Here is a 26,907-nt window from a genome sequence, read left to right as displayed (position 1 = left end):
ATGAAAGTGTAGAGAGGTATCAGGTGTTTGGTATTTACCTAAATGTCATGGTGGATGAGTACATTTAAAAAGAGTAAATATTGCTGATTTAATTTGAATCTGGTGACACAGATCCAGTTTAATTGGCATGCTCAGAAAAGCTCAAGAATGTTTGCCAGTCGCGGTGATTATACTAGAGTATATGTGTGTAAGAGATATAAAAATAAATATGGTGCTAGTTGCAAATAATTTATCTTTTTATTTTTATATCATAGACTTATTTTAAGCATTAAATTTTATAATACTGATTTATAAAAAATTTTCTTAAAAGCATGAATTAAGAGGTTGGTCAGTAGAAGAGTTGCTAAGCAGTGTAGTTTATAATTTTTCTACCAGGCAAGGTCTTTATTTCATCTTACTTGGTTAAAAAATACTAAAAGTTTCTCTCTCTGCTCCTTAAACAAAACTGCTGGATAATACATAAGTTTCCTGTCAGCAGGTCACCTTGCAGGCAGTCCCCAGTTTAAGAATGGGTTTTTCCTAAATGCTCTGGGCAGCTAGCTGCCAGGCAGAGCTTCAGGGAGCGTCTCCTGGAGGCGTTGGCACAGGTGCCGCAGATCCTCGGGGCAGCCCCGGCCTCCTGAGCCCACGGTCTCACCTCACCTGGGACTCAGCACTCCATCACCATTTCTTTTTGGGGGCGCGTTCTGGAAGACAGGAGGTCAGGCACACTGAGGCTCAGGTTTTCTTTAGTTGTCCCTTCACCAGGCCCTTGTGGCTGAGGTGGCTGTTGGCAGAGGGGTTGTGATGATTCCAGAATTGCTGGTCTCTGCATGTCTGGACATTAGCAAGCTGAATGTTGACCGCTTGTCATGTTGTCATTAGTAGAACTGGGACACAGCTGCAACAGCCATCTTTTTTTTTTTTTTTTTTTTGAGACGTCTCTCCCTGTCGCCCAGGCTGGAGTGCAATGGCACGATCTTGGCTCACTGCGACCTCGGTCTCCTGCGTTCAAACGATTCTCTGCCTCAGCCTCCCGAGTAGCTGGGATTACAGGCACCCGCCACCACGCCTAGCTAATTTTTGTACTTTTAGTAGAGACGGGGTTTCACCATGTTGGCCAAGCTGGTCTTGAACTCCTGACCTCGCGATCCGTCTGCCTCAGCCTCCCAAAGTGCTGGGATTACACGCGTGAGCCACCGTGTGCAGCCAACCATTTCATTTTGAAAGAAAAACTTTTTTTTTCTTGTTTTAGAGACAGGGTCTCACTCTGTTACTCTGTTGTACAGGCTGGAGTACAGTGGCATGATCTCAGCTGGGCTCATCGATCCTCCCACCTCAGCCTCTTGAGTAGCTGGGACTGCAGACGGGTGACACCACACCCGGCTAATTTTTAAGATTCTTTTGTAGAGACGGAGTCTCACTATGTTGCCCAGGCTGGTCTCAAACTCCTAGGCTCAAGTGATCCTCCCGCCTTGGCCTCCCAAGGTGCTGGGATTACAGCGTGAGCCACCATGGCCAGCCTGAAAGGAAAACTTTTTAAAGTTTAGAAAAGAAAACCTTGTAGAAGAAATAAGTTTCAGAGGTCACTGTGAGACTCAGCTGAGAGCCGGTCAGAACTGTGCCCTCGTGCCTCACATAGCAAGCTCTCCGTAATGTACTTATATTTTTGTTAAGCTTGACAAGTTCAAATGTAAGACAGTTTGAATCTTGTTCTGTGCTCAATAAAGAGGAAATCATGTTAAAATTATGCCAAAGGCCTGTTGACTTTTTTTTTTTTTTTGAGACAGAGTCTCGCTTTGTCGCCCAGGCTGGAGTGCAGTGGCATGATCTCGGCTCACTGCAAGCTCCGCCTCCTGGGTTCATGCCATTCTCCTGCCTCAGCCTCCCGAGTAGCTGGGACTACAGGCGCCCACCACCACACCCAGCTAATTTTTTTGTATTTTTAATAGAGACGGGGTTTCACGGTGTTAGCCAGGATGGTCTTGATCTCCTGACCTCGTGATCCACCCACCTCGGCCTCCCAAACTGCTGGGACCACAGGTGTGGGCCACCGTGACCAGCCATTTTTTTTTTCTTTTTGAGATGGAGTCTGGCTCTGTCGTCCAGGCTGGAGTACGGTGATGCAATTTTGGCTCACCGCAACCTCCGCTTCCTGGGCTCAAGCAGTTCTCCCCCCTCAGCCTCCCATGTAGCTGGGATTACAGGCACCTGCCACCACACCTGGCTAGTTTTTCTAGTTTTTAGTAGAGACAGGGTTTCATCATGTTGGCCAGGCTGGTCTTGAACTCCTGACCTCAGGTGTGAGCCACCGTGCTCGGCCAGGCCTGGTGACTTTTAAACGGAGATGCCACCTGGGCATTAAAACTCTTTTGGAAGACGTAGCAGGGTAGAGGGCAGCCTCTTGCCCTGTGCTGCTGGCTGTAGGCCTCCCTAGTGGAATCTGTGACAATTGTGTCATCACTATACTGTGATTTCAGCAAACGTGTGCGCCTTCTGCCAGCTGCACAGCAGCTCAGTAGTGGGTATAGGACGGAGAGGGCAGACACGTGGGGCTGCCCATGCCATCGATACTTGGCAGAGGTTGATCTGGTAGAGGAGTCAGGAGGTGCCAGGTGGGAGGAGCCCAGTCAGGAATCCACATAAGGGTGGGGTGAATCTAAGTGTCAGCCACAGAAATGGTGCCCGTGGGACAGCAGGGTGCAAGTGCCTCCTCAGCAGCCCTTGGCACTTGCACGGGGCTTGGGAGAGGAAGGGATGAGGGATGGCTCAGCCTCAGCAGCCTCGGGGTGGTGCACGAGGAGGAGCCCGGAAGGCAGGGACACCGTGGCTGGAGCCACTGTCCCAGGAGGGACCCCGAGACCGGCAGTACGCTCTCTGGCCTGCTTCCCAGTGAACACAGACTGACACCCCTCGTTGCTTTGCAGACCGCGTGCTTCCGAGAGGAGCGCGATGTGCTGGTGAACGGCGACTGCCAGTGGATCACCGCGCTGCACTACGCCTTTCAGGACGAGAACCACCTGGTAGGTCGCACAGCCAGAGACTCGGTCAGGGCATTCGCTCCGGCTTTATTCCTTTATGCTGTCACTAAAAATTCAGTCAGACAATGTGGAACTGACATTTAAAAAATGTGTATTGGACTCGATAAAACGGCGGGGCTTGTTTTCATGCAGTAATTGTCAGGTAGAACTTCTTTAAAATACACATGTGGAAGTAAGGACTTTGTTTTTTTCTAATCACTAGAGAAGCTGATTCGTTTGTTTGCTGGGTTTATTACATTTAAATCAGCTGGGAGTTTGAAACACTTTCAATCTTGGATTATTGAGAATAAGGAACCGCAGTGGGGATTAAGCCACGTGGATGTTTTTGCCTCCATCTCAGCTAGGGCTGAGTCCGGGAGTGCCTCTCGTGGGCCTGCAGTCCTCCTGTCTTCCCGCGGTGGGGGGGGTGCCCCAGGCCCTTTCGACAGGTTTTAGGTGACTCTTAGTCTCCACGCTGCCTGTGTATTTTTCCGATTTAAACAGGGCTTGCTTTCAGGACAGATGGACCAGCCTCGTGACGCACATGCATGTGCATTGTCAAGCGTGTTCGCCTCCACGGCACTCTAAGGCAGCTGACTTGGCGGTGAAGGGGAAACCAGCCCTTGGTCTTGGCCGCTGAGTGACCCGCAGACCGCCTTGTTCAGGACTTTTTATTCCTAGAGTGACTCTAGGTTTGCCTGAACCTGAAAGTGTCCACTGCTGGAGCTCTGGGTGGACGTGACGCGGGCAGACCTCAGAGAAGGAGGTCTCAGCCCAACTCATTCCCAATGGCACTGTTTCTGCAGTGGTGGCGAGAGGGGCGTGGTCGCTGTGGTCACCAAGCCTCAGAGCAGGGACCCGAGGCTTCCTTTTCCTTGGCAGCCAACGTGCGTGTCCACCTGAAGCTCCTGGGTTGTGCGCTCCATTGGTTCACAGCAGATGGAGTAGTGTGGGATCCTTCCATTCACCCTAAAGGAGCCCTTGAAGCATCAGAGAAAGCCCTGAGATTTGAACACCCAGGATTAGGGAAAAATGTGTACTTATGTAGACTTTATATATATGTGTTTGCCCAGCAGAGGGGGCAGCTGGTGTTTGTTGAGCACTTAGGATGTTTCAGGCCCACAGGGGTCCCCGTCCGTCTTCCCAACGACCCAGTGATTCCACTGTTTCATAAGGGGGTGTCTGGGGCAGAGGGAGGCGAAGTCACTTGCCCAAAGTGACCACATGGATGACAGCACCTGTGACCAAGACCCAGCCCCAGCCTGGCGAGCAGGTTCCGGATCCCCTGCTCTGGGGCCACCTCCACATAAACCCCCCCGCTTCCTGCTCAGTGTCCCTGCTCCCAGGACCCCGGTGGACTGTCTCCAGTTCATTTCCACTTTCGATAAGAACTGAGTGAAGTTTCCAGGGAGTACAGGCAACTGGGATCTGTACAAAGGAAGATGATGATGCTTGTTTTGTTTCTAATATTTTTTTAAATTAGCATAGCGTGCTGCCATCTGAAATGTTAGGTGTTGCCAGGTTTATTCTAAGTTAACACACGTCAGTTAGGAGCCCCTGTGAAGATTCCATGTTCTTGAGATTTTGGAGTTGCCCAGGTAGACGTACCATGAAAATTAAGGATGAGAAAACGAAGGCGAGGCCTTGGAAGCTTTCTGGCCCGTGACTGCGGGGCCGGCTTCTGCGGTGCACACCTGCCACCTTGAGCGGGGGCGTTGAGGGTTAGGCCAGTTCCTCTTCCTATGGTTGTGAGGCTGGCCCGAGTGCAGGCTGGTGTCAGGTGCCTCTCATAGCGATATGGAAACGTGGGTTCCTCTGACCACCCACAGAGCGGGTTCTGCTACAGTTTCTATTGGAGCTATCTCACAGAGTTTTATCAAAATTAAACCTGTTTGACTGCTAACTAAAACTTACTGGCTTAACTCAGCACCCCGCGTTCTGTGACAGGACAGACTAGGTCTGATTCTCATTCTGGAGTGGGCCTCCGCCGTCTGCCTCACGAGCTCCCGCGTTAGCTTTCCTCAGAGACCATGCTCCAGGAGACCGTTGATCAGACCCAGTGCTGCTGTAGGAAGCTCCTCCTCTTAGAGTTCTCGGCAGACGTGGACGCGGCTGGGGCTCAGCTAGTAAGGGCTTGACTCGACCCCACGGCCTTCCTTAGGGGCCCGAGGGCCTGGCCGTTCGTTCACCGCATCTCCCCTGGCCCCGTGTGTGTCCGTCAGCTGCCGGGGCCGCTCCCTCTGGAATGCCTGCAGTGTGCATCCACCGCCCCCTCTGCATCGCCCTCCACACGCAGTGGCACCTCGGTGCCTGGGCTTCTGAACGTAGCTGGGGAACATCACCCACTCACTGCTCTGAGTGTGGGGCTGCAGCCCCCACTGTGGCCGGCCCTCCCCTTTTGGCAGGCTCCAGGGTGCCGCTGCCACTTTCCTCCTAGCCGCTTTGCACGCACCCCTTCATCTGGAGCACGACCGCGGCTCCCCTCAGGCCTCTGCTTGGCAACCTCTGGCCTGGGCACCTCACCAGGCGGCCTGCGGTCAGCTGGCGCTCACCACTGCCTGCTCTCCATGCTGGCCACGGTCTCTCCCGCCCCCAGTGTGAGCTCTGCTGAGCCAGGGACCTCGCTGTCTCGTGCATGCCAGCACCCCTGTTGCCAGAGGGGCTGGCGGGGCCACAGTGAGGGTGCACGAGCGAATGAACAAATTGAAAAACTCGGCGGGGAAGGACGGGCAGTGCCTGAGCCAGGGCGGGGAGGCTGGGGCTGCCCTTGGCGGTGGCAGGGAGGCTTGAGGAAGACTCCACAGGGTGGGACAGCTGTGGAGAGGCTTGGAAGGGATGAGAGTTTGCTGGTAAAGATTCTGTTGAGAGCAGGGACCTAAAATGAAGGCTTCTGTCGTTTCCTCTGATTAGCTGGGCCGCTCCCTTCCTCAGACAAGCCCACCGGTGTGGTGCTTCCCTTCCTTTGGAGACACTGCAGTCTGGTTGAATGTGATGGGCGTGGAGTCTGACTGTTGGGCCCAGGTCTTTGCTCTGTCCTTGCTTGCTGGGAGACCCCGGGCCCATCCCCAAGCCTCCCGTGTCGATGGGGTCTTGGTGCCAGAGGCAAGGGCAGGTGGGAGCGTGAACAGGACAGCACTGGCCTGTGTCTCACAGCCTGGGCCCGAGCGTGGGCCTTCATGGTGACAGCAGCTGATATGATTAGGTTCTCCATAAATATTACAGGGTCCCTGCCCCGGCTGATAAACAGGGCGTTTACTCCCTGTGCGGGTTAGTTAAAAGCTAGCTGTCCAGACCACAGCATCCATCTCTTCACAGGAAATTTGCACCAAGGAAGGCGGCTCCTGTGAGGTTCAGGCCACGTGCTTCCCCAGCATTCACTGAGGCACAGCGGCCCCAGAGATGGAGGTGTTGGCTGCCACCCTGACTCTGGCTGTGATGGTCTTGCCTGTCCTGGGCCTCTCTGACCTGTGAGATCTCCCCACTGGGGCCTCCACAGACTGTGGGCTTTGTGGTCTGAGCTTTCTGAGTGCTGCAAGAGACAGGCTGTCCTCAGGCAGAGCTCTACGCAGGCTCACCTCGGGGTCGCCCACTCCCAGCACACGGCTGGCCCGGTGGCGAGGGAACTCGCGGGGAAGTGACGGGCTCAGCCCTGTTAGCAGATGTTTTTTCTCCCATTACTCCAATTTCTACTTAAGTAGGAGCTTTTCTGAGGTTTCTGTTGGAGTGAACCTATAAGTAATTATCTTTCGGCTCTTTTATGATATAATCTTTCCAATAAGAACTGCTGATACCATGTGTGATGTTAACTACTTTGCCTCCCTTCTCTGGTCTGGTGTCGTCCTCACATAACATGAGGGCCTGGAGAATTATTTTTAAACCCATAGGATTGATGGGCTATTAACTGTGCTTCTGCTTTGGGTCACTAGCTTTTAGAGTGCCCTCTCCAACCTCAAGCCCTTTCATCATTCCTCCCATTGATTAAATACATCACTTACTGAAGTCCACTCTCTGCCATATGCACCCCTGAAGATGGCGGCGTCGTGGACGCATCGGGGCGCATGTTCCAGAAGGAGGGTCTTGGGTGACAGAAGAGCAGCTGAGATGCCACGAGCCAGACCTGGAGCCTGAGAACCTCGCCATGGAAGACTGGCCTGTAACTGTCAGGTTTAGTGGTGACTAAATGTGGTATTCTCTCCCCTTCTCTTTCCAATTTGTAGTACTTAGTCATGGATTACTATGTGGGTGGTGATTTACTGACCCTGCTCAGCAAATTTGAAGACAAGCTTCCGGAAGATATGGCGAGGTTCTACATTGGTGAAATGGTGCTGGCCATTGACTCCATCCATCAGCTTCATTACGTGCACAGGTAACCGGCTTCTGATATATTTTATGGAAACCACGTTTAATTGTTAAAAGACTCCTTTCAGAGCTCCCAAGTCCAGGCCGTCCCAAGAAGCCATGTAGGTAGCGAGTCCCCACTTTGAGCTGCCGCAGCACAGACTGATTTGCCCACATCACCGTCTTCCAGCCCCAGCAGCCGGTGGATCCCAGCTCTCATTGTTGCAGTTGTCATGGTCTGCTGTCAGCCGAAGCCACTGTGTCTTTTGATATTTATTTGACATTGACTCAACTTCTCCCCGTCTGAGACCCCCTCCCTAAAATGCCTGTGCTCCCTGGGGCTCACGTGGGCCCCGGGGTCCTCTGTCTCTACCGCCCAAGACCCCCTCCCTAAAATGCTTGTGCTCCCTGGGGCTCACGTGGGCCCCGGGGTCCTCTGTCTCTACCGCCCAAGACCCCCTCCCTAAAATGCCTGTGCTCCCTGGGGCTCACGTGGGCCCCGGGGTCCTCTGTCTCTACCGCCCAAGACCCCCTCCCTAAAATGCTTGTGCTCCCTGGGGCTCACGTGGGCCCCGGGGTCCTCTGTCTCTACCGCCCAAGACCCCCTCCCTAAAATGCCTGTGCTCCCTGGGGCTCACGTGGGCCCCGGGGTCCTCTGTCTCTACCGCCCAAGACCCCCTCCCTAAAATGCCTGTGCTCCCTGGGGCTCACGTGGGGCTCAGGGTCCTCTGTCCTTACCACCCTGAAATGTCTCGTGTGGGGCCTGGGGCCCTCTGTCCCCACATTCTTTCTCAACTCTGGTCTTCTCTGTGCCGTGCTGACCCCTGAAGGGCCCCAGGACACTCACAAAGGAAATAGGGCTTGAGGAAGAGGCTTCCATCACTGCGACTTGCAGGAGTTGAGCTGAGAGAGCGTGTGGGGCAGAGGCCTAAAGCAGCTCCGTCTCCTGCTCTCAGGGGCCCCCTCTGCCTTCTCGGCTGGGAGGGCAGCTCCCCAGTGACTCAGCCACTGAGTCCACATCTTCACATCCCTCTTGTCCTGAGACTCAAAGATTCAGTCCTGTGGTTTGTTTTGGTTTTCGTTGTTTTTAAAAACTAGTTTTACTTGTATTTTTATTACAAGATAATTTTATGGTAATAGGTTTAAAAAGTCAAACAGTTCTATAGAGCCTCCAACCAAAACCAAGCCCAGCCCTGGCCCCGCTGATTACACTTGGTCAGGTAACTATTGTAAATTTGTAAAATTATTTTTCCAGCATCTGCCTTCATGTGTCTTAAGTCACAGGTTTATATTGCTAATTTCTTTCTTTTCTTTTTTGGCTTTAGATCACATCTATGAAATTGAAATTTTAACTCTTTTACATAATTACCTCTTTCTCTCTGTCACCCATCTCTCTCACATATACTTCCAAACTGTCTTCCTTTCTCCCACATCATCCTTTTCATTTTTATTTTGATATATTTTTTAGGATGGAGTCTCGCTCTGCCACCCAGGCTGGAGTGCAGTGGCGTGATTTCACTCACTATAGCCTCTGCCTCCTGGGTTCAAGAGATTCTCCTGCCTCAGGCTCCTGAGTAGCCATTACGCCCAGCTAATTTTTTTGTATTTTTAGTAGAGATGGGATTTCGCCATGTTGGCCAGGCTGGTCTTGAACTCTTGACCTCAAGTGATCCGCCCATCTCGGCCTCCCAAAGTGCTGGGATTACAGGCGTGAGCCACCGCGCCCGGCTCCACGTCATCCTGATTAGAATGGTTAAAATCCATCCTTTCAGCTATGGTTCAGTCAGCATTTGGTGTTGATAATACTGTGACTGCGTAACTATGACAGCAGCCTTGTAGTTGAGAACTACACTTACATAAACTTCTGCTTTCTCTGGAGTTGATAATTGCCTTGCTTTTTATTAGCTTTTCTTTGTAGCTGTCACTAATTTGTCCCCAGATATTGTGGCCACGTTATGAAGCTCCGTACCGGACATGCATCGGGTAGTCTCGATCTGGTTTTCCTTGGCGCTGTCCCTTCCATCGTTCCCCTCCTCTCTTCCACGTTGGTTCCTCATTTGTCCTGTGCTGCACTCATTCTGAGATGGCTTTTCAAGTGCAGAGATCCCCTCTCCCTTTCTGGGACTGGCTCCCAGCTTTTCCGAGCCGTTCATTTTTCTTTTTCTTGGCTTTTTAGTTTGGCTTGGTAGCGCGTGTCCTCCAGTGGTGGCTGGAAGGGGGGTATATGAGAGAGTTTTTTGAAATCAGTGCCTTTATTCCATGTGTGTCTGTGACTGGTGCTTTATCCAGTGTGGAGATTTTAGTTGGAAACCACTTTCCCCTTGGGACTTCGCAGGCATCACATGTGTCTGTGTCTTCCACCTTGAGGCTGCTCTCGAGAGGTGTGAGGCCATTGTGGTCTCCATGGCTTTGTGTTCTGAGCTGTAGGCCTGTGCTCGGGCCCCCTCCGTGGTGATCAGGAGGCTTTCCCAAGCAGACACAGCCCCTCCTGTGTGGGGAGCAAGGGCGCTGCTGAGTTATAGCTCTTCCGTCTTGCTGGAGTGCTGCTTCGTTGCTAGAGGAGGAAGTTGAGGCTAGAGAGGTGGGCGCCTTTCCTTAGCCTCATTGCTGATGGCTCGCACCTCCCAGCACACAGGGAGCTGTCCCGATAGAACAGACACTCATTTAGTGTGATGAGGTTGTGGACATTGCTTTCTCTTTCTTTCTTTTTAAAAAATACATTTCTTAACATAGTTATGCTTGCTTTTATAAATTAGTATAGGTTGTTTTTTTTTTTTTTTGAGATGGAGTCTCACTCTTGTTGCCTAGGCTGGAGTACAATGGAGCGGTCTCAGCTCACTATAATCTCCACCTCCCAGGTTCAAGCAATTCTCTTGCCTCAGCCTCCCGAGTAGCTAGGATTACAGGCATGCACCATCACACCCAACTAATTTTGTGTTTTTAGTAGAGATGGGGTTTCTCCATGTTGGTCAGGCTGGTCTAGAACTCCTGACCTCAGGTGATCCACCCACCTCGGCCTCCCAAAGTTCTGGAATTACAGGCATGAGCCACCTCCCCCGGCCCATAAGTTAGTATAGGTTTTAACATTTAGATTTTATACTGTCTTCTTGGTAGAACTTAATTCACAATAGAGAAATAAATGTCTTTGTATTTATCACAGATCTCCAGGGAAATTAGTTTGACCACCTTTTAAATTGTTTTTCTCCCCCTAAATAGAAAGCGTTCTCCTCATTCTCTCTCTCTTTTCTTTTTTGAGACGGAGTCTTGCTCTGTCACCCAGGCTGGAGTGCAGTGGCATCATCTCAGCTCACTGCAAGCTCCGCCTCCCGGGTTCACGCCATTCTCCTGCCTCAGCCTCCCGAGTAGCTGGGACTACAGGTGCCCACCACCACGCCCAGCTAATTTTTTTGTATTTTTAGTAGAGATGGGGTTTCACCGTGTTAGCCAGAATGGTCTTGATCTCCTGACCTCGTGATCCGCCCGCCTCGGCCTCCCAAAGTGCTGGGATTACAGGCGTGAGCCATCCTCATTCTCTTAATTGGCTGTGTAGAAGCTTTGCTCAGTCGTTTGACGTCCGGGCATAGTAGACATCAAAATATGTAATTTTAAAACTTTATTTTTCCCCCCAAATTAACTCATTATTCAGACTGAGTGCCCAGATGCAATCTAAAAATAGAACAGAGATTTTTCTAGGAGGCCTGTCTTACCCCAGTCTCAGGTGGGGGCATTGTGAACATTTGGTAGGGTCAGAAAGAAATGTCATTGGCGCCAGAGTGGTGCCGCTGGCCGATGTTACGGTGTGGCCAACTTTACGGCGTGGCTGACGTTACAGCATGGTTTGGAGCCCGTGCCACTGTGCTGCCGCTTGGGCCCCTTCCTGGGGTTAGTCGGGTGCTGTGGGGATCCCACCCCGCAGGCGGGGGTCTGCAGGTTTCACAGCTGCTGCCTGGTTTCCGCAGCTGGACCCCAAAAGCCTTCCGGGTGAGGAAATCAGTGGCAGACCAGGACCCTGTGGGTGCCCCTCACAGGTGGGTACAGCTCCTTCCTGAGAGGTCAGCCCCTGATGATATCCGGAAAGGCAGAGATCATGAATGACACAAAGGGTTTCAGAGAGAGAACATCGGCCACAGTGGCTCACGCCTGTAATCCCAGCACTTTGGGAGGCCTAGGCAGGTGGATCACCTGAGGTCAGGAGTTTGAGACCTGCCTGGCCAACATGGTAAAACCTGTCTCTACTAAAAATACAAAAAATTAGCCAGGCTTAGTGATGAGCACCTGTACTCCCAGCTGCTCGGGAGGCTGGGGCAGGAGGACTGCTTGAACCCGTGAAGTGGAGGTTGCAGTGAGCCGAGATCGCGCCATTGCACTCCAGCCTGGAGAACAAGAGCGATACTCTGTCTCAAAAAAAAAAAAGAGAGAGAGAGAGAACATCACATCCCTAAAGAGAGAGCAGAGAGTATAGTGTATGAACAAAATAAGAACAGAGTACAAATTTTAAGAAAAAGAATATGTAGAAAACAAAAAGTCTTGGAAAATAAAAGCTAAAGTAGAAAGTTGAGTAGAAGAGGCAGAAGATGAAGTAGAGGAAATCTGACAAAAAGGAAAAAAAGAAAAGAAAACCTCGGAGAGAAGATCTGGCGGTCAGAGTGGCTCTGGAGCCACACCCCAGGTGGTGGACTGTGCTCTGGAGGCTGAGGCACACCTGCTGTGGGAATCAGACCTCTGCTGGTTTTGCAGCAGGAAGTTCCACAAGGGGAACGGATGGAAGTGGGAGTTGACATCACTCAGAAATGGTACGGTGAGGGACAGAAGCAGCCTCCCTTTTCAGTGTCAGAGGAAGAGCTGGAAGGGAGACATAAAGCCTGCAATTCACCATGGCTCTTTCACCCACACCTGCTGGATGCCACTGATTTTAGCCAGAATCTCAGCAGCTGGGAGAAAATGCACTTGGGGGAGCCTAGAGCTGCTTCTCAGCGCTGTGCCTGACTCTCCCCTGAAGACGCCGCTGCTCCCCGCTGTGCCATTAGAGGAGAATGGACATAGGCAGTCCCAGCACAGTGGCCCATGGGGACCGTCAGCTCTCTCAGTTGGCCTGGGCATCTGCCCATCTAAAGGCCTCGGCGGTTGGGAGCCATAGGTCAGCCCTTGCCCTGAACCTCCAGTGCTCTTCTGTCAGGAGAGCTTTCCTCACACAAACAGCAAGTTCACTTAAAAAAAAAAAATCAACCACCACCACATGTTTTAAATACAGAATTATACGGCGCAGATGACCCCCAGTGCGTGCAAATGGCCCCTGGAAGGTATACAAGGAAGATGGCCTTCCGGAGACCCCTCCTCGGCCTGTCTTCTCAGAGTGTACTGTGTTGGTGGTCCTGGGGTGGCCCCTGGAAAAACATCCCTGTTTTATAGGGAATTCCTGGCAACCAGGTCCTGTTTAGCCTGGACTCTGGTCGTTGCATTCCTGCTAACTCGGTCCATAGAACACCTGTTGTGGCGTGTCTCGGCGCCTCCTTACTCTCTTCTGTGTCTTCCTAGCCTGTCTCAGGCCACTTGGGACATTTTTCGTGTGTATGTGAAATTATGGTTATTTGCCTTAAACATTTTCCTATATAATCATTTCTCCATTTCTCTGAATTGCCCTGCCTTCCATTCCCAAACCAAAAAAGTTAAGCCTAAATGATGAGATTTTTGGGGAGAAGAACCAGTTTGTTCCAGTCTAAATAAAGTAGTGTAATTATCCTTGTCTTTAATCCATTTCTTCCCGGCAGCCAGGTATAGAGCTTGTTACACAACCTCCTTGAGCTTCTCTTCATACATTTGTCCTGTATGCATTGCTTCAAGTCTTCCTTGTCATAAAACTGGTCATCTTTTATTTACATGGGTGACTCACAGAAGGGAGTGGAGGCAGGAAGCCATGGTGAAAAGTTTGTGAGGTCGAGTGAGCGCTTCTGAGTGCCCTGGTCATGGGGAGGGTAGGGGAAGGGCTGGGTCTGCTTCTGCTTCCAGGAGTGTTGGTCTTCATTTCCCCTCCCTCCCTCCCTCTTTCCCTCCATCCTTCCATCCTCTCATCCTTCCAACTCTCCCTCTCTCTTTCTGCCTTTCACTCTTTTTTCATGAGAAAAGAATGCAGAAAAACTGGTGGACGTGGGAGAGTCTGTTAGATGTCCCCAAAAGTGCTGTTAATAGACGTGCTCTTGGCCAGAAGCCTCGCATCCCATGTGGAGCGGCTCATTGAGAACCCACCTGCGGCATGCCCTGTGCACACAGCCTTCAGAGTTGCAGATACCTGCCTTTCTTCCCAACACTGGTGGAGTCTGTTGGGAAGTGAACGTAGTATATATAACGTATGAAGAAGAATTTGTTCCTCTGAAGCAAATTTAATTGAGATGTATTTAAATATGTATAGTAGACACTTCCAAGAAAAGAGGATTTTTATTAGTGAAAATAATATATTCAGCAGATGGGCCAGGTGCAGTGGCTCACGCCTGTAATCCCAACACTTTGGGAGGCCGAGGTGTGTGGATTGCTTGAGCTCACAAGTTCAAGACCAGCCTGGCCAACATGGCAAAACCCTGTCTCTACTAAAAATACAAAAAACTAGCTGGGCGTGGTAGTGCACGCCTGTAATCCCGGCTACTTGGGAGGCTGAGGTATGAGAATCGCTTGAACCCAGGGAGTCAAGAGGTTGCAGTGAGCTGAGATTGTGTCACTGCACTCCAGCCTGGGTGACAGAGTGAGACTCTGTCTCAAAAATAAATAAATAAATAAATAAAATATATATTTTTAATATATATTTTTGAATATATATATTTTTAATATATATTTTTTGAATATATATATTTTTGAATATATGTATATTCAGCAGATGTTTTCCTTTTGATTTTTTTCTTTCAGACTTAAAGATTTTGTGTCAAAGCTGCTAAAGTAATGTGAGACAAAAATTGTTTTTGAATTCTGATGTGCTGAAACAGTTGGTGAGGCGGTGAGTGGATTCTTAGGTTATTGCAGCGTGTGACGTGAGCACAGGTGCTGGCATTCGTGATGTCACTGTGCTGTCAGCGCAGGCTGGGAGGCGGCAGCAGTCACTGCTCCTCAGCTGCCTCTTCCGTAACGAGAGGAGCACCGTCTCTACCCCACCACACTGGCTGGCCTGAGGGTCAATTGTGACAATTTATGCATGGCAGGTACTGTGTCTGCCATTTATAACTGGTGGCTGTTTTATTTCTGGGTCCCAGCAAAAACATCCTTTAAATCACTGTTATCTGTAGTTGGGATAGGAGGGCTTTTTGTAACTTTAAAGTCCATTTCAGTTGACTTCTTTATGTAAATCTTACTGAGATATGTCACAGGTATTCAGTAAAGCTCCCAAACCGAGGGGTGCAACTCAGTGGATTGTTCAAAACTGCACGCTCACAGCAGCACCCAGATAAGCCCCCTTGGGGCTCCCCCATCACTCCCTCCCCAGGGGTCACCACCCCTCATCCCCCCCACAGTGCTATGCAGAACTTTCCACAGTGACAGAATGTTCTAGATGTGCACTGCTCAATACGGTAGCCCCAGCCACATGTGGCTCATGAGCACTCAAAACGTGGCTGGTGCAACAAAAGAACCAAATTCTTCATTTTATGTAATTTACATTAATTTGAGTTTGAATAGCCCTCTGTGGCTAGGGGCTACCATGTTAGACAGTGAGGCTCTGAAAGCATAAATCAGCTTTGCCTGTTTTAAAATACTATATATATGGAATCATATTACATGTGCATTCTTTTAAAAGTTTTCTTTTTAAATAATGTTTCAAATAATTTCAAACTTAAAAAATTTCAGTCTTATACAAGGGTTGCAAGAACGGTACAAAAAGCACCCATATACTTTTAATCAGATTCACGTATTGTTAATATTTTGGCTCCTATTATATACATCCCCCTCCCTCTCCACATGTGTACACACACGTACAGATTTTTCCTCACCCATCTAAGAATAAGCTGCATGTACCAAGAGCATTTACCCCAAAATTCTTACTTACACTACTCATGCTTAATCATACCCTCTTTACTCAGATTTTAGCAGTTGACCCAGGAGCATCTCTTACAGTATTTTCTTCCCTCCAGTACAGAATCCAGTCCAGGATCACATGTTGCATTTATTGTCATGTCTTCTTTAATCTCTTTTAATCTAGAATAGTTCCTCATCCTTCCTTTGTTGTGACATTGGCATGTTGGAAGAACATTGATGTGTTTGGCGAATACAGTGTCCCTTGCTTTTTCAGTAGAAGACTTCTTTGGTTTGGTCTGATGTTTCCTTCTGATAGATTGAGATGATGTGTTCCTTCCTCTTGGAATGTGTGTGTATAGCTATATTGTGTCCTTCTCAGGGTGTCATTTCCACAGGTGTACAATATCCATCAGCCCCTTGGTGGTGATAAACCCATCACGCAGTTAAGATTTTGTTAGATTTTTCTGCTATATAGTTTTTTCCCTGTGGGGAGATACTTTTAAGACCATGCAAATATCCTCTTCCTCTTTAAAATTTCCTCCAGAGATTTAGTACCCATTAATGAATTTTGCCTAGACCAGTCTTTGCATGGTTGCAGATTGACTCACAAACTCCAGACCCACCATGCTGACCAGTCGTCATCCGGCTTTCTCCTCTAAGGAAGCAACCCCTTTCTCCCTGTGTATTGGTCTGTTTGTGATCAGTGTGGCTACATGGATCCTTCTTTCTCCCAGTGGTTTTTAATTCACTATCTTAGTTATTTTTGTGCTGAAATTGGCCCATATTTGGCATTCTAGCCGACTCCTGTGTTTGCGCTGTGCCTCTTCACTTTTTGAGGATGCCCTTAGTTTCTGGCTCATCCTATACCTTCTCTGTCCCCACTCCGTTGTTTCTCAGAAGAGCTCAAGGCCCTTTAGTGGGGAGCGGCTTTGAAGACCAAGTTCTGGGTGCTGGGCATGCGCATTACTATGGGGTTGCCTGCTTCTAGGCCCCTCAGTGCACAGAGGTAGTAACAGAGGTATAGACACACTCATGGACACACACGTCTACCTGTGCATACTCAGGAATCATGAGTTAACTTCCTGACTTCCTCCCTTTCCAGACTTTTGTCTTCCTCCTACTGAAACTGTGACTCCCAGCACCGTTAGTACGTGCACTCACTCAGTCCTGAGATGTGTCTAAAAAAGCTTTAGAATTGCTCTGCCCAGGACACCACAGAAGCAAACCTGCCCGCAGGCATTCCGGGTTTGTTTGCGGTTCTCCCCCATCTCATTGGGACTGCACCCCTCACCTGCAGTAATTCAAGTTCTGTGTTCATAAGTCACTTGGATTTGTTTTGTTTTGTTTTGTTTTGTTTTAACCCCATCTCCCCCTTCAGTGTTGTTATTTATTTGAAATACAGTTGGATTCATTGGTTTGAATCAGTTTTCCATTTTAGACTTCCCTTCCGCCTTTGTTGATTGAGTTTTATTCTTTGAGTACGTAGGACGTTAGCGTGCTTCCAAAACTGCATGAAGTTGTACTCAGAAGCGTCGCCCCTTCTTTATCCTGCCCACCTCCGCTGGCAACCCAGGATCCGTAGCCAGTCTGCTGTCTTCTGCTATCGTCCATGCAGGCGTTTTCTTGTTTATCCTTTGTTAAGCAAAAGGTGATACCTTTAAAAACTTTAGTGATGTATCCTGTAAATCATTCCATATCAATTCATGGAGCTCTTCATTCTTTTTTTTTTCTTTTTTTTTTTGAAACAGAGTTTCGCTTTTGTTGCCCAGGCTGGCGCGCAGTGGTGCGATCTCGGCTCACTGCAACCTCTGCCTCCTGGGTTCAAGTGATTCTCCTGCCTCAGCCTCCTGAGTAGCCGCCCGCCACCACTCCCAGCTAATTTTGTATTTTTAATAAAGACAGGGTACTCCATGTTGGTGAGGCTGGTCTCAAACTCCCAACCTCAGGCGATCCTTCCACCTCAGCCTCCCAAAGTGTTGGGATTACAGGCGTGAGCCATCGCACCCGGCCTGCTCTTCATTCTTTTTTATGTTTGCATAATACTGCGAACTACCATAGGTAACTACCATAGTTTATTCAAGTAGTCTCCTAAGAGTGGACATTTAGATAGTTTCCAATATTTTGCAATTATAAATGTAGAAATAAATACCCTTGTGCAAGGTGGTTTTTGTTTTGGTTGTGTGCCTTCAGGGTAAATCTCTACAAGTGGGGTTGCTGGATCAAGAGAGAAATAAATTACATACGTAGGTTTATTTGATGTTGTAAGTTTCCCTCCATAGACATTACCAATTTGTATTCCCACCAGCAGTGGATGAAAGTGCCTGTTTCCTTGCAGCTTTGCCAACCGTGCATTTTCAGACTTTTGTATTTTTGCCCTCTGATGGGTGACAGGTGGTACACAATTGTAGTTTTCTTTTTCACCTTTCTCGTGATGTTGACCATCATGTTTGTATTTTTGTGTGTGTGTATGTGAGTTTTTTCATTGGTTTTACCCTTTTATTATGGATTTCTGGCTTTTTTCCCCCAATTCTTAAAGAAGTATTTGCCTTTTATCTGTAATATATATTACAAATATTTTTCCCCAATTTGCCATTTGTTTTTTGATGTGGTTCATTGTGGTTTTTTGCCACACAGATTTTTAAACATTTTTGTACATAATCGAATGAGAAATCCTTACTCCCAGAAAAAGAAAACCCACGTGTTGGTTTGTTTGTTTTTTTTTTTTTTTTGGAAGGGGGGGTTGTTTTGTTTTGTTTTTTAGTATTTTTACTTTTTCATTCATATAGGTTCATCTGTTCCATGTGGATCTTGGGTCCATTTCAGGTTTATTCTTATATACGGCACAAGGAAGAGTTCTAATTTTATCTTTAAATGGCTCTCCAGTTGTCACAACACCAATTTATTTAAGTCTATCTTTACCCCAGTGATTCGTATTATCTTTGTCCTGTACTTGATTTCTTTATGTAGTTGGTTTGTTTCTAGACATTCTACTCTATTCCATTTTCTCTCTGCCTCTGCACACACTAGCACCACACTGCTTTAATTAGGGAGGCTGTGTAGTGTGTTTTGAAATCATCTGGGCCTGATCCTCATCACAGCTCACTCTTCAGGGTTTTTCTGGCTTTTCTTTTCATATGAGCATCAATATCAACTTGGCTGGCTTCAAAAAAGAGGACATTGATATTTTCTTTTTTTTAATCTTATGGGCCCTCTCATTCTAGATTCAGGTATTTTTTTTTTTTTTTTTAATTTCTGGAAAGTTCTGTTGGATTGTAGTCAAATGTTAGTCATGTTTTGTTTTGATTTCTTTCAGGGACTCCAGTTATGCATCTGTTGGGCCTTCTTTGCCTGTCTCCCACTTTAGCCTCTGGCTGCTTCCTATCTGACTGCGTTTCCTTGTTTCTTTACCTCATTTTATTCTTCTAGATCTTTTCTTCCCTTTCTTCAATTTTTCATTAGATTTTTGTTTCAATTTGTTCTTGTTTGGTCCTCTTATAATTTCATTTCTGATAAGATTTTATCTGTTTCTTCTATTTCTTCCCTGAGTTAAATCAGCTCTTCTTTTCTGCATGCTTTTGTCTAGTGCGTGCGTGTGTGTTTGTGTGTGTACGTGTGTTTTTGTGTTTTGAGACAGGGTCTTGCTCTGTCGCCCAGGCTGGAGTGCAGTGGCGCAATCACAGCTCACTACAGCCTCTGCCTCCCAAGGTTCAAGCAATTCTCTTGCCTCAGCCTCCCAAAGTGCTGAGATTATAGTTTGTGAGCCACTGCACCTGGCCGTGTGTGTGTGTGTGTGTGTGTGTGTGTGTGTGTGTTTGTGTGTTTGTGGGATTTTGTTTTGTTTTCTTTTTCGTATTCCTGAATGTTTATTTGAGGATATTTTATTTTAGTTTGGAGTGTTACATGCTAGAGTTTCTTTTGCCTTGTGTTTTTGTTTCTGGTTTTGTGTTTTGTTTCTGGTTTTGAGGTAAGAATTATCATCTGCCCATGTTTGTGTGAGATTGATTCATGTGGCTGGGGGAGTTGGTACCCGTCTGTTTTCATTGGGGTGTGGTGTCTATCACACGAGTATAGCCCAGCTTACTCACCCATTCTCTTGGAGGCAGAGATTTAGATTGTTTCTGCCTTTTGGCTGTTAGAAGTGGTGCCGCTGGGAACATGCTTGTACTTGTCTTTTGCTGAATGTCTGTCTTTGTTTTTAAAGTTTGTTTGCATTCATACTGTTGAGTCATGTAAGCTTATTGTGCCAGAAAAAAGCATTCATGCTCTGAGGTGCCCTGCACCCGCACATGTGTTTGAGAGCGCACAGAAAGTAGTTTAGAAACAGGCGTTAGTGGGACAGACCTGTGTTTATGTTCCTGCTCCAGCACGTGCTGCTCTGTAACTGTGGGCAGTTGGCTCAGCTTCCATGTCTTCATCTATAAAGTGCAGTTTTGGGGGTATGGGGCGGTTTGCAGCAGTCTTCCCCCAGATCGCCACCTGCCTCCTGGACCTCGTCTGGCCACTGCCGTCTCTTTGTGTGGCAGCCCCCAGCCAGCTTCCTCCACACGTGTCCCTCTGTCCCTTTGTCCCATTCCTGTTTTCCGTGGTACTCAGCACAGAGCTTGCACCGTGTGAGCCTGCCTGAGACAGCAGTGCCTATTTGTGTTTGCAAGACCTCAGCTCGTGTGCAGGCTTCATGAAGGCAGGGGCAGCGTTGTCACGTGCATAGGTGGGTGGGCTGGAGAGCAGTGCCTGGCACCAAGGAGATGCTCAGGAGGGGCTCGTTAGCTGGGTGGGCAGACGAGTAGGAATCGTCACAGGGCCTCGCCAGGGTAACTGGGGACTAAACGAGGGGCAGTGATACGACTTCGGCTGCCACCATGCCAGCTGAATGTCACACAGAGGCATTTGTACTGGATGGTGACAGCTGTTCACAAGAGGATATTAGCATTTATTCATCTGATCACCACTAGTTAAGGGCTTTGATCTACCTAATGTGTTGCATGGAGATGGTTAATTTGTGTGTTTATTTTACAAACAGAGACATTAAACCTGACAATGTCCTTTTGGACGTGAATGGTCATATCCGCCTGGCTGACTTTGGATCATGTTTGAAGATGAATGATGATGGCACTGTAGGTATTTTTGTTGGAGATTTTCCATTTGGTTTTGGGTTTGGCATATAGTCAGAAGGGAAGTTTTCAATTTGAGGTACAATTAAGAAACCAAGTATATTAATTCAGAAAATGAATCCATTTTGGAGATAGTTGAAATTTTCTGTTTGGGGAGTTTTGTTTCCCAAATAAAAATTAAGTTGGAAAGCATCTTTATTGCTTTTTATGTTTACAAAAGTAATATGTGTGCCTTCCAGAATGGGAGTTGTCAGGTTTCCTCAATCCCAAGGTGGCTAAAAGCATGCCAGCCCTGTAGCAGATCGAGGGCGCTCCCTGCTTCTTCCTTAAAGGGCCCTGTCCAGGCTGGTCGGGTGGGCAGGCATTAACCATGTAACTGTACTTTCTCACTTGTGTTGGGGCAGGTAACTTCCTGCTAGGGGTTTCCTCTCTATGGGTGTTGTAGACCTAGAAATAGAGTCCTAGGTGCTCAGTGTTACGGGGCCAGCTGACACTCCCGCCAGCAGGGAAAGAACAGGAGGTTGCCCCCGGATCGGCTATCACCAGGAGACCCAGGCTCAGGCCACAGGCCCTGTGGTCTCCACCCCGCAGTCAGACCAGCGTCATGGCCGAGTAGCCTGATGGGGGCAGTCCCAGCTCTGCTCACACCCTGTTGGCAGCTGCTTGCAGCAAACTGCTTTCACTGCGTCTGTGGCCACTGTTGCAGTTTTGTTCTTACATGTTTGGAGTCTTTTCTTTTTTGAAACCTACACTTATCATAAGGTCTAACATCAAATAGTTTTCCGAGAGAGCAATCCCTTTCTTGCCTACTGGCGGATTTTCAAGCAGTAGTGGAAGCACCCATGTGACTGGCTTCAGTTGACAGCGTTTTATAAGAAATAAAGCAGTTTGCTCATTTTCATTCCACAAAGCCAGTCTCTTGTTTTTAATAGTCTTGACCACATATTGATTAATTGGTAGGCGGGTGCTGTCCTCCACTCCAGTCTTCCAGTGACTAGAACAGGTCTGAACCAGAACATGGGTTACCCTCCACACCTCCACACCACCCTGTCACAGTATAACCAGAGCATGGGTTACCCTCCTGACCTCCACACCACCCTGTCACGGTATAACAAGAGCATGGGTTACCCTCCTCACCTCCACACCACCCTGTCACGGTATAACCAGAACATGGGTTACCCTCCTCACCTCCATACCACCCCGTCATGGTATAACCAGAACATGGGTTACCCTCCTCACCTCCACACCACCCCGTCATGGTTTAACCAGAGCATGGGTTACCCTCCACACCTCCACACCACCCTGTCACAGTATAACCAGAGCATGGGTTACCCTCCTGACCTCCACACCACCCTGTCACGGTATAACCAGAACATGGGTTACCCTCCTCACCTCCACACCACCCCGTCATGGTATAACCAGAGCATGGGTTACCCTCCTCACCTCCACACCACCCCGTCATGGTTTAACCAGAGCATGGGTTACCCTCCTCACCTCCACTCCACCCCGTCACAGTAGTTGTTCATCGTGGAGTCACCGCCCAACACCCCAGTGGTCCCGCTGTCTGTAGGAGCTCCTGTGGGCTGGCCACGCACTCGTGCAGGGAAGTGATAGAGGTGGAGTTCTCTGCTGATCCATTCAGCCTGAGCAGTTCTCACACCACTGGCTCTGGGGTGCTGCTTGGACCCTGTGTCTCTCTTCCCAGAGGGGACCCTCGGGAGAGCCTGGCCTTCCCCAGACAGGCCTGTGGTTGTTGTCTCCAGTTCCTGCCTGAGCCTCAGTCTTAGAGACTCAGCCCGTCAGGATGGCCCTATACTCTCCATCGTTCTCTCTGCTTGGATGATTTCTCAGCTTCACCAGGCTCCTCCCGCTTGCTCTGAGGTGGCCCGTGCCCTCGCAGCTTTCTGCAGAGGTGTCACTGTACTCTGGCACCTGCCTGCTGATGTAGATAGCAGGGGAGCTGTTTTCTCCCTTGCGGGGGTAGGAGCGGTCTTAGCCTCCTGGTGCGCTGTCCAGGGAATGCCTGAGCACCCGGCTAATGCCTGGACCAACTTCTGCATGTTCCCATGAGGAAGACCACAGGGTCGGCTGCAGGTGAGCAGCCTTAGTACCCCCAGAAGCTTATTAGAAATGCAGCCTCTTGTGCCCCACTGGAGTCTTTATTCTAAAAACAGACCCTACACAAGACTCCCTGCGTGCTGCACATGAAAATCAGAAAGGCTGGCCTGTGCACATGTGGCCCCTGCATCACACTGGGAGCAGTGACAGAGAGTGGGAAATGCCAACCCTGGGGGATTGGAGAGGCACTGTTTGGGGCTGTGGCTGGTATTTGGGTATTGACAGACCATGTGTACAAGAGTTTCATGCATTCTGGGAGCCGCATAATGTTTAGTGCTTCAAAAGGATATTTATTTGCATTGAATTTTGCATTATTGAGGTTTTTAAATTCCGTTTTGTTTCGTTAGAGACAGGGTTGGGGACCATGTTGCCCGTGTTGGCCTTGAGCTCCTGGGCTCAAGCGGTTCTCCGGCCTCAGCCTCCCAAGTAGCTGAGGCTACAGGCTCGAGGCACTATACTCAGCTTGAATTACTGGGTTTAAAAAACACGATCATTCATCAGTTTTATTCTATGATTATTTCATTTTCTGCCTCCGCTATATTTTAGAGAAAGTAGTTGGAAATATGTGATTGGAGATGCCCTAGGGTTTCCTTCAGCACCTCCTTCTCCCCTAAGGTGCAGTCCTCCGTGGCCGTGGGCACACCTGACTACATCTCGCCGGAGATCCTGCAGGCGATGGAGGACGGCATGGGCAAATACGGGCCTGAGTGTGACTGGTGGTCTCTGGGTGTCTGCATGTATGAGATGCTCTATGGAGAAACGCCGTTTTATGCGGAGTCACTCGTGGAGACCTATGGGAAGATCATGAACCATGAAGTAAGACGTTGCATTTTTTTTTTTTTTTTGGTACCTGGCTCAGGCCTAAAGTACAGAGAGCACAACTAGTGCAGGAAGATCCGTTAGGAAGCAACGCGAGTAGTTGAGGAAGAGGTGACGGGGTTTGGACCAAACTGGGGACAGGCAGATTGGAGTAGACATTGGAGAGGGCATCCAGAGGCGGGGTCGGCACCAGGAGATGTGGGCGCCAGAGGAAGGGGAAGGAGGTTCTGAGGGTGACCCCCACCCCCACTCTCAGGGGAAGGACGCTGGCCTGCTCCAAGCTGGCTTCCTGGAGGGAAGGCAGGTTTCTGTAGACAGACGCGTCGTCTGCACAGGCGCATGGAGTGAGGCGCCCGGGGGTAGCCAGTGGGGAGGTCCAGGTGGGCCCTTTGACCTGTGGCTCTAGATTCACTGGTTAGGTGCCAACTTTGATTCTCAAGTCTGTTCCCCAGAAATCAGTCCCTGTAAATGATCATGTGTCTCCAGATGGTGGAGCCCTTCATCCTCCCCATCCTGTTTCCTCTTTTCCTCCTTCCCTTTCCGAACTGTTCACTTTCTCACTTCCATGTCACCTCTCTCCACCTCCTTTGTTTTCCTTTTTATCATTTTCTCTTCTGTCTGATATTTTTTATTTCTTTTTAAAAATTTTCCTTAGTCATGTGTCTTTCTTTTTTGAGATGGAGTCTCACTCTGTCGCCCAGGCTGGAGTACAGTGGCGCAGTCTCGGCTCACTGCAACCTCTGCCTCCCGAGTTCAAGCGATTCTCCTGCCTGTCTTTTTATCTTTTTTTTTGAGACGGAGTTTCGCTCTTGTCGCCCAGGCTGGAGTGCAATGGTGCAATCTCAGCTATGCCTCCCAGGTTCAAGCGATTCTCCTGCCTCAGTTTCCTGAGTAGCTGGGATTATAGGTGCCTGCCACAACACCTGGCTAATTTTTTTGTATTAGTAGTAGAGACAGGGTTTCACCATGTTAGCAAAGCTGGTCTCAAACTCCTGACTTCAGGCAATCCACCCACCTTGGCCTCCCAAAGTGCTGGGATTACAGGCGTGAGCCATCGCACCCAGTCAGTCATGTGTCTTCCTAATGCCGATTTCACCCTCTCTACCAGCGTGCTCATAGCATTTCCCTCCCCGCTGTCTCCTGTGCACATGACAGATCCCAGAATGATCCTGATTGAGTGCTGGCCTGTCCTCCAGCCAGGGCCTCCCACAGTTCGCTCTCACAGGGAGCAGATTAACACTGAAGCGGGAACTGGTTTTCCATTTAACTCCAAAGCAAAGCAAAAGTTACAGTTTTAAAAAACGTTTTTCCCAAAGTAGAAGCATATTTTTATTTGTAAATTAATATATACCCCCTATAAAAACTTCAGACAATGCAAAAATGCATATTGTAGATAATGAAAATTGTCTCATCCACTTCTTAGTGACAAATTCTGTTAAAGTAACAACTGGGACTTCGTTATTACTAAGAGCCTGCCAGCAGTCACTGAGTGCCGACCACCTGTGGGCTCTTGGGTCAGGCACTCCGTGAAGCAGGTGACATTGTTCTTCCTTTCTGTAGATGACAGAGGTGGTGGCTCAGCTCTCAGCCCACTCTACCATGAGGGTGTGTGGCCTCGGCAGACCTCAGCTCGTGTGTGTGCGTGCGCATGTGTGTGTTTAGATACGTGGCATCATGTTACATATCAACAGTTTTTTGTCATTGTATCTGTGGTGTCTTTCTATAGCAGCACACAGACATGTTCCTTTTTCTTTGTGCCCCATCTTTTTTGTTTTGAGCTGGAATCTCGCTCTTGTCACCCAGGCTGGAGTGCAGTGGCACGATCTTGGCTCACTGCAACTTGCACCTCCCGAGTTTAAGCGATTCTCGTGCCTCAGCCTCCCAGGTAGCTGGGATTACAGGCCGCCACCACGCCCGGTAATTTTTGTATTTTTAGTAGAGACAGGGTTTCACCTTGTTGGTCAGGCTGGTCTGGAACTCCTGACCTCAGGTGATCTGCCCACCTCGGCCTCCCAAAGTGCTGGGATTACAGGCGTGAGTCACTGTGCCCAGCCGGTATCTTTTTTAACGAGTCTCTTTTTTGATGGGCATGTAGGTAATTTGCAGTTTTCTTGGTCAAAATACAGTGCAGTCCTGAGCATGTTGTGTTTCCTCTTAGTAACTGCTTTTTTAGTGTGAGTTTCCAGAAGCGGAGCTGCCGTGACGCGTGCACTGTGCATTCTGACGGGGCTGCGCCTGTCCCTCTTCCCGCGCACGGCATGTTTCCCACATTCCTTGCCACTTCCATAGGTAAAATGTGTCATTTACATGCAGTGTGGTCACAAGTCTACAATGAGTAAAACCAGAAGGACCACTGGTTTTCTTGTTTGCCTTTTGGGAATGGAAATTTATTAGCTTTGGATTGCATTTAGTTCCCATGAAGTGACCTGCTTTGAAGCTACCATTTCTACTTTGTTTCCTATCATATCTGTACACCTTAAACTCTCTGAATGCGTCCACCTGTCCACCGGTGTTTTTGCCACCCCTTGCAGGAGCGATTCCAGTTCCCATCCCATGTCACGGATGTATCTGAAGAAGCGAAGGACCTCATCCAGAGACTGATCTGCAGTAGAGAACGCCGGCTGGGGCAGAATGGAATAGAGGATTTCAAAAAGCATGCGTTTTTTGAAGGTCTAAATTGGGAAAATATACGAAACCTAGAAGCACCTTATATTCCTGATGTGAGCAGTCCCTCTGACACATCCAACTTCGACGTGGATGACGACGTGCTGAGAAACACGGTGAGTGTGAAAGCACCGTTCTCAGGGTTGCTGGCTGTGGGTCTGACATGCAGTGCTGTGTTGAGGGCGTTGCTTATCAAGTCAGTACACCATAAAGCTGTGAAATTTGGCACTTAAGACAGTGTGCTTTTTATTCCAGCCTTCAGCTGGGTCCTTAATATTCCTTTAAAAAATGATGGATGACTCAATTTGAGTAAAATTCAGTTAAACAGCTCATTTGTTTTGCAACTCAACAGAAATACTTTTGCTTTTATTTTCACAGTACTTGATACTTTTTTTTTTTGAGACAGTCTTGCTCTGTCGCCAGGCTGGAGTGCAGTGGTGCAATCTCAGCTCACTGCAACCTCTGACTCCCTGTTTCAAGCCATTCTCCTGCCTCAGCCTCCCGAGTAGCTGAGATTACAGGCATGCGCCACCATGCCCAGCTAATTTTTGTATTTATAGTAGAGACGGGGTTTCACCATGTTGGCCAGGATAGTCTCGATCTCCTGACCACATGATCCGCCCACCTCTGCCTCCCAAAGTGCTGGGATTATAGGCGTGAGCCATCGCGCCCAGCCTACTTGATACTTTTCAAAGCAGTGTCACATACATCATTGTATTAGAGCTTCACTGTGACCCTGTCACCACATTTTAGGTTTTTTAGGTTGAAAGACACCAAGACATGGGCTTAGCCTACAGTCCCATAGGCAGTGTGGCGGCCTCTCAGTTACTGGTCTTTTCCCTACATGTGAGAGCACGTTAAATCTT

The 26,907-nt window shown here is 48.8% G+C and overlaps 1 protein-coding gene across 8 annotated transcripts in view, besides 4 other annotated features; it reads left to right on the top strand.

Annotated features, from left to right (window-relative positions):
* The window catches only part of CDC42BPB (CDC42 binding protein kinase beta), a 125,170-nt gene that overhangs the window by 50,620 nt on the left and 47,643 nt on the right, over nucleotides 1-26,907 (top strand). For all 8 annotated transcript variants that reach the window (NM_001411054.1, NM_006035.4, XM_005268228.2 and 5 more), the window contains exons 4-8: nucleotides 2,907-3,002; nucleotides 7,217-7,365; nucleotides 20,350-20,443; nucleotides 23,174-23,374; nucleotides 25,909-26,157. In NM_001411054.1, the coding sequence (NP_001397983.1) occupies nucleotides 2,907-3,002; nucleotides 7,217-7,365; nucleotides 20,350-20,443; nucleotides 23,174-23,374; nucleotides 25,909-26,157 (789 nt within the window). The remainder of the gene's footprint in view (nucleotides 1-2,906; nucleotides 3,003-7,216; nucleotides 7,366-20,349; nucleotides 20,444-23,173; nucleotides 23,375-25,908; nucleotides 26,158-26,907) is intronic.
* Nucleotides 4,768-4,867: an enhancer, noted in NCBI's record as "active region_9093". NCBI's record gives its function as "activates an Ori minimal core promoter by ATAC-STARR-seq in GM12878 lymphoblastoid cells {active_cell/tissue: GM12878}" and the evidence as "EXISTENCE:reporter gene assay evidence [ECO:0000049][PMID:35858748]".
* Nucleotides 7,983-8,529: an enhancer, noted in NCBI's record as "H3K4me1 hESC enhancer chr14:103464738-103465284 (GRCh37/hg19 assembly coordinates)". NCBI's record gives its function as "activates a minimal SCP1, AML or CMV promoter by ChIP-STARR-seq in naive H9 embryonic stem cells {active_cell/tissue: H9 hESC(naive)}" and the evidence as "EXISTENCE:reporter gene assay evidence [ECO:0000049][PMID:30033119]".
* Nucleotides 19,220-19,853: an enhancer, noted in NCBI's record as "H3K27ac-H3K4me1 hESC enhancer chr14:103453414-103454047 (GRCh37/hg19 assembly coordinates)". NCBI's record gives its function as "activates a minimal SCP1, AML or CMV promoter by ChIP-STARR-seq in naive H9 embryonic stem cells {active_cell/tissue: H9 hESC(naive)}" and the evidence as "EXISTENCE:reporter gene assay evidence [ECO:0000049][PMID:30033119]".
* Nucleotides 19,854-20,488: an enhancer, noted in NCBI's record as "H3K27ac-H3K4me1 hESC enhancer chr14:103452779-103453413 (GRCh37/hg19 assembly coordinates)". NCBI's record gives its function as "activates a minimal SCP1, AML or CMV promoter by ChIP-STARR-seq in naive H9 embryonic stem cells {active_cell/tissue: H9 hESC(naive)}" and the evidence as "EXISTENCE:reporter gene assay evidence [ECO:0000049][PMID:30033119]".

This window comes from Homo sapiens, chromosome 14 (assembly GCF_000001405.40).
Source record: "Homo sapiens chromosome 14, GRCh38.p14 Primary Assembly".
NCBI lineage: Eukaryota > Metazoa > Chordata > Mammalia > Primates > Hominidae > Homo > Homo sapiens.
This window is presented reverse-complemented; position numbering and strand designations above follow the sequence as displayed.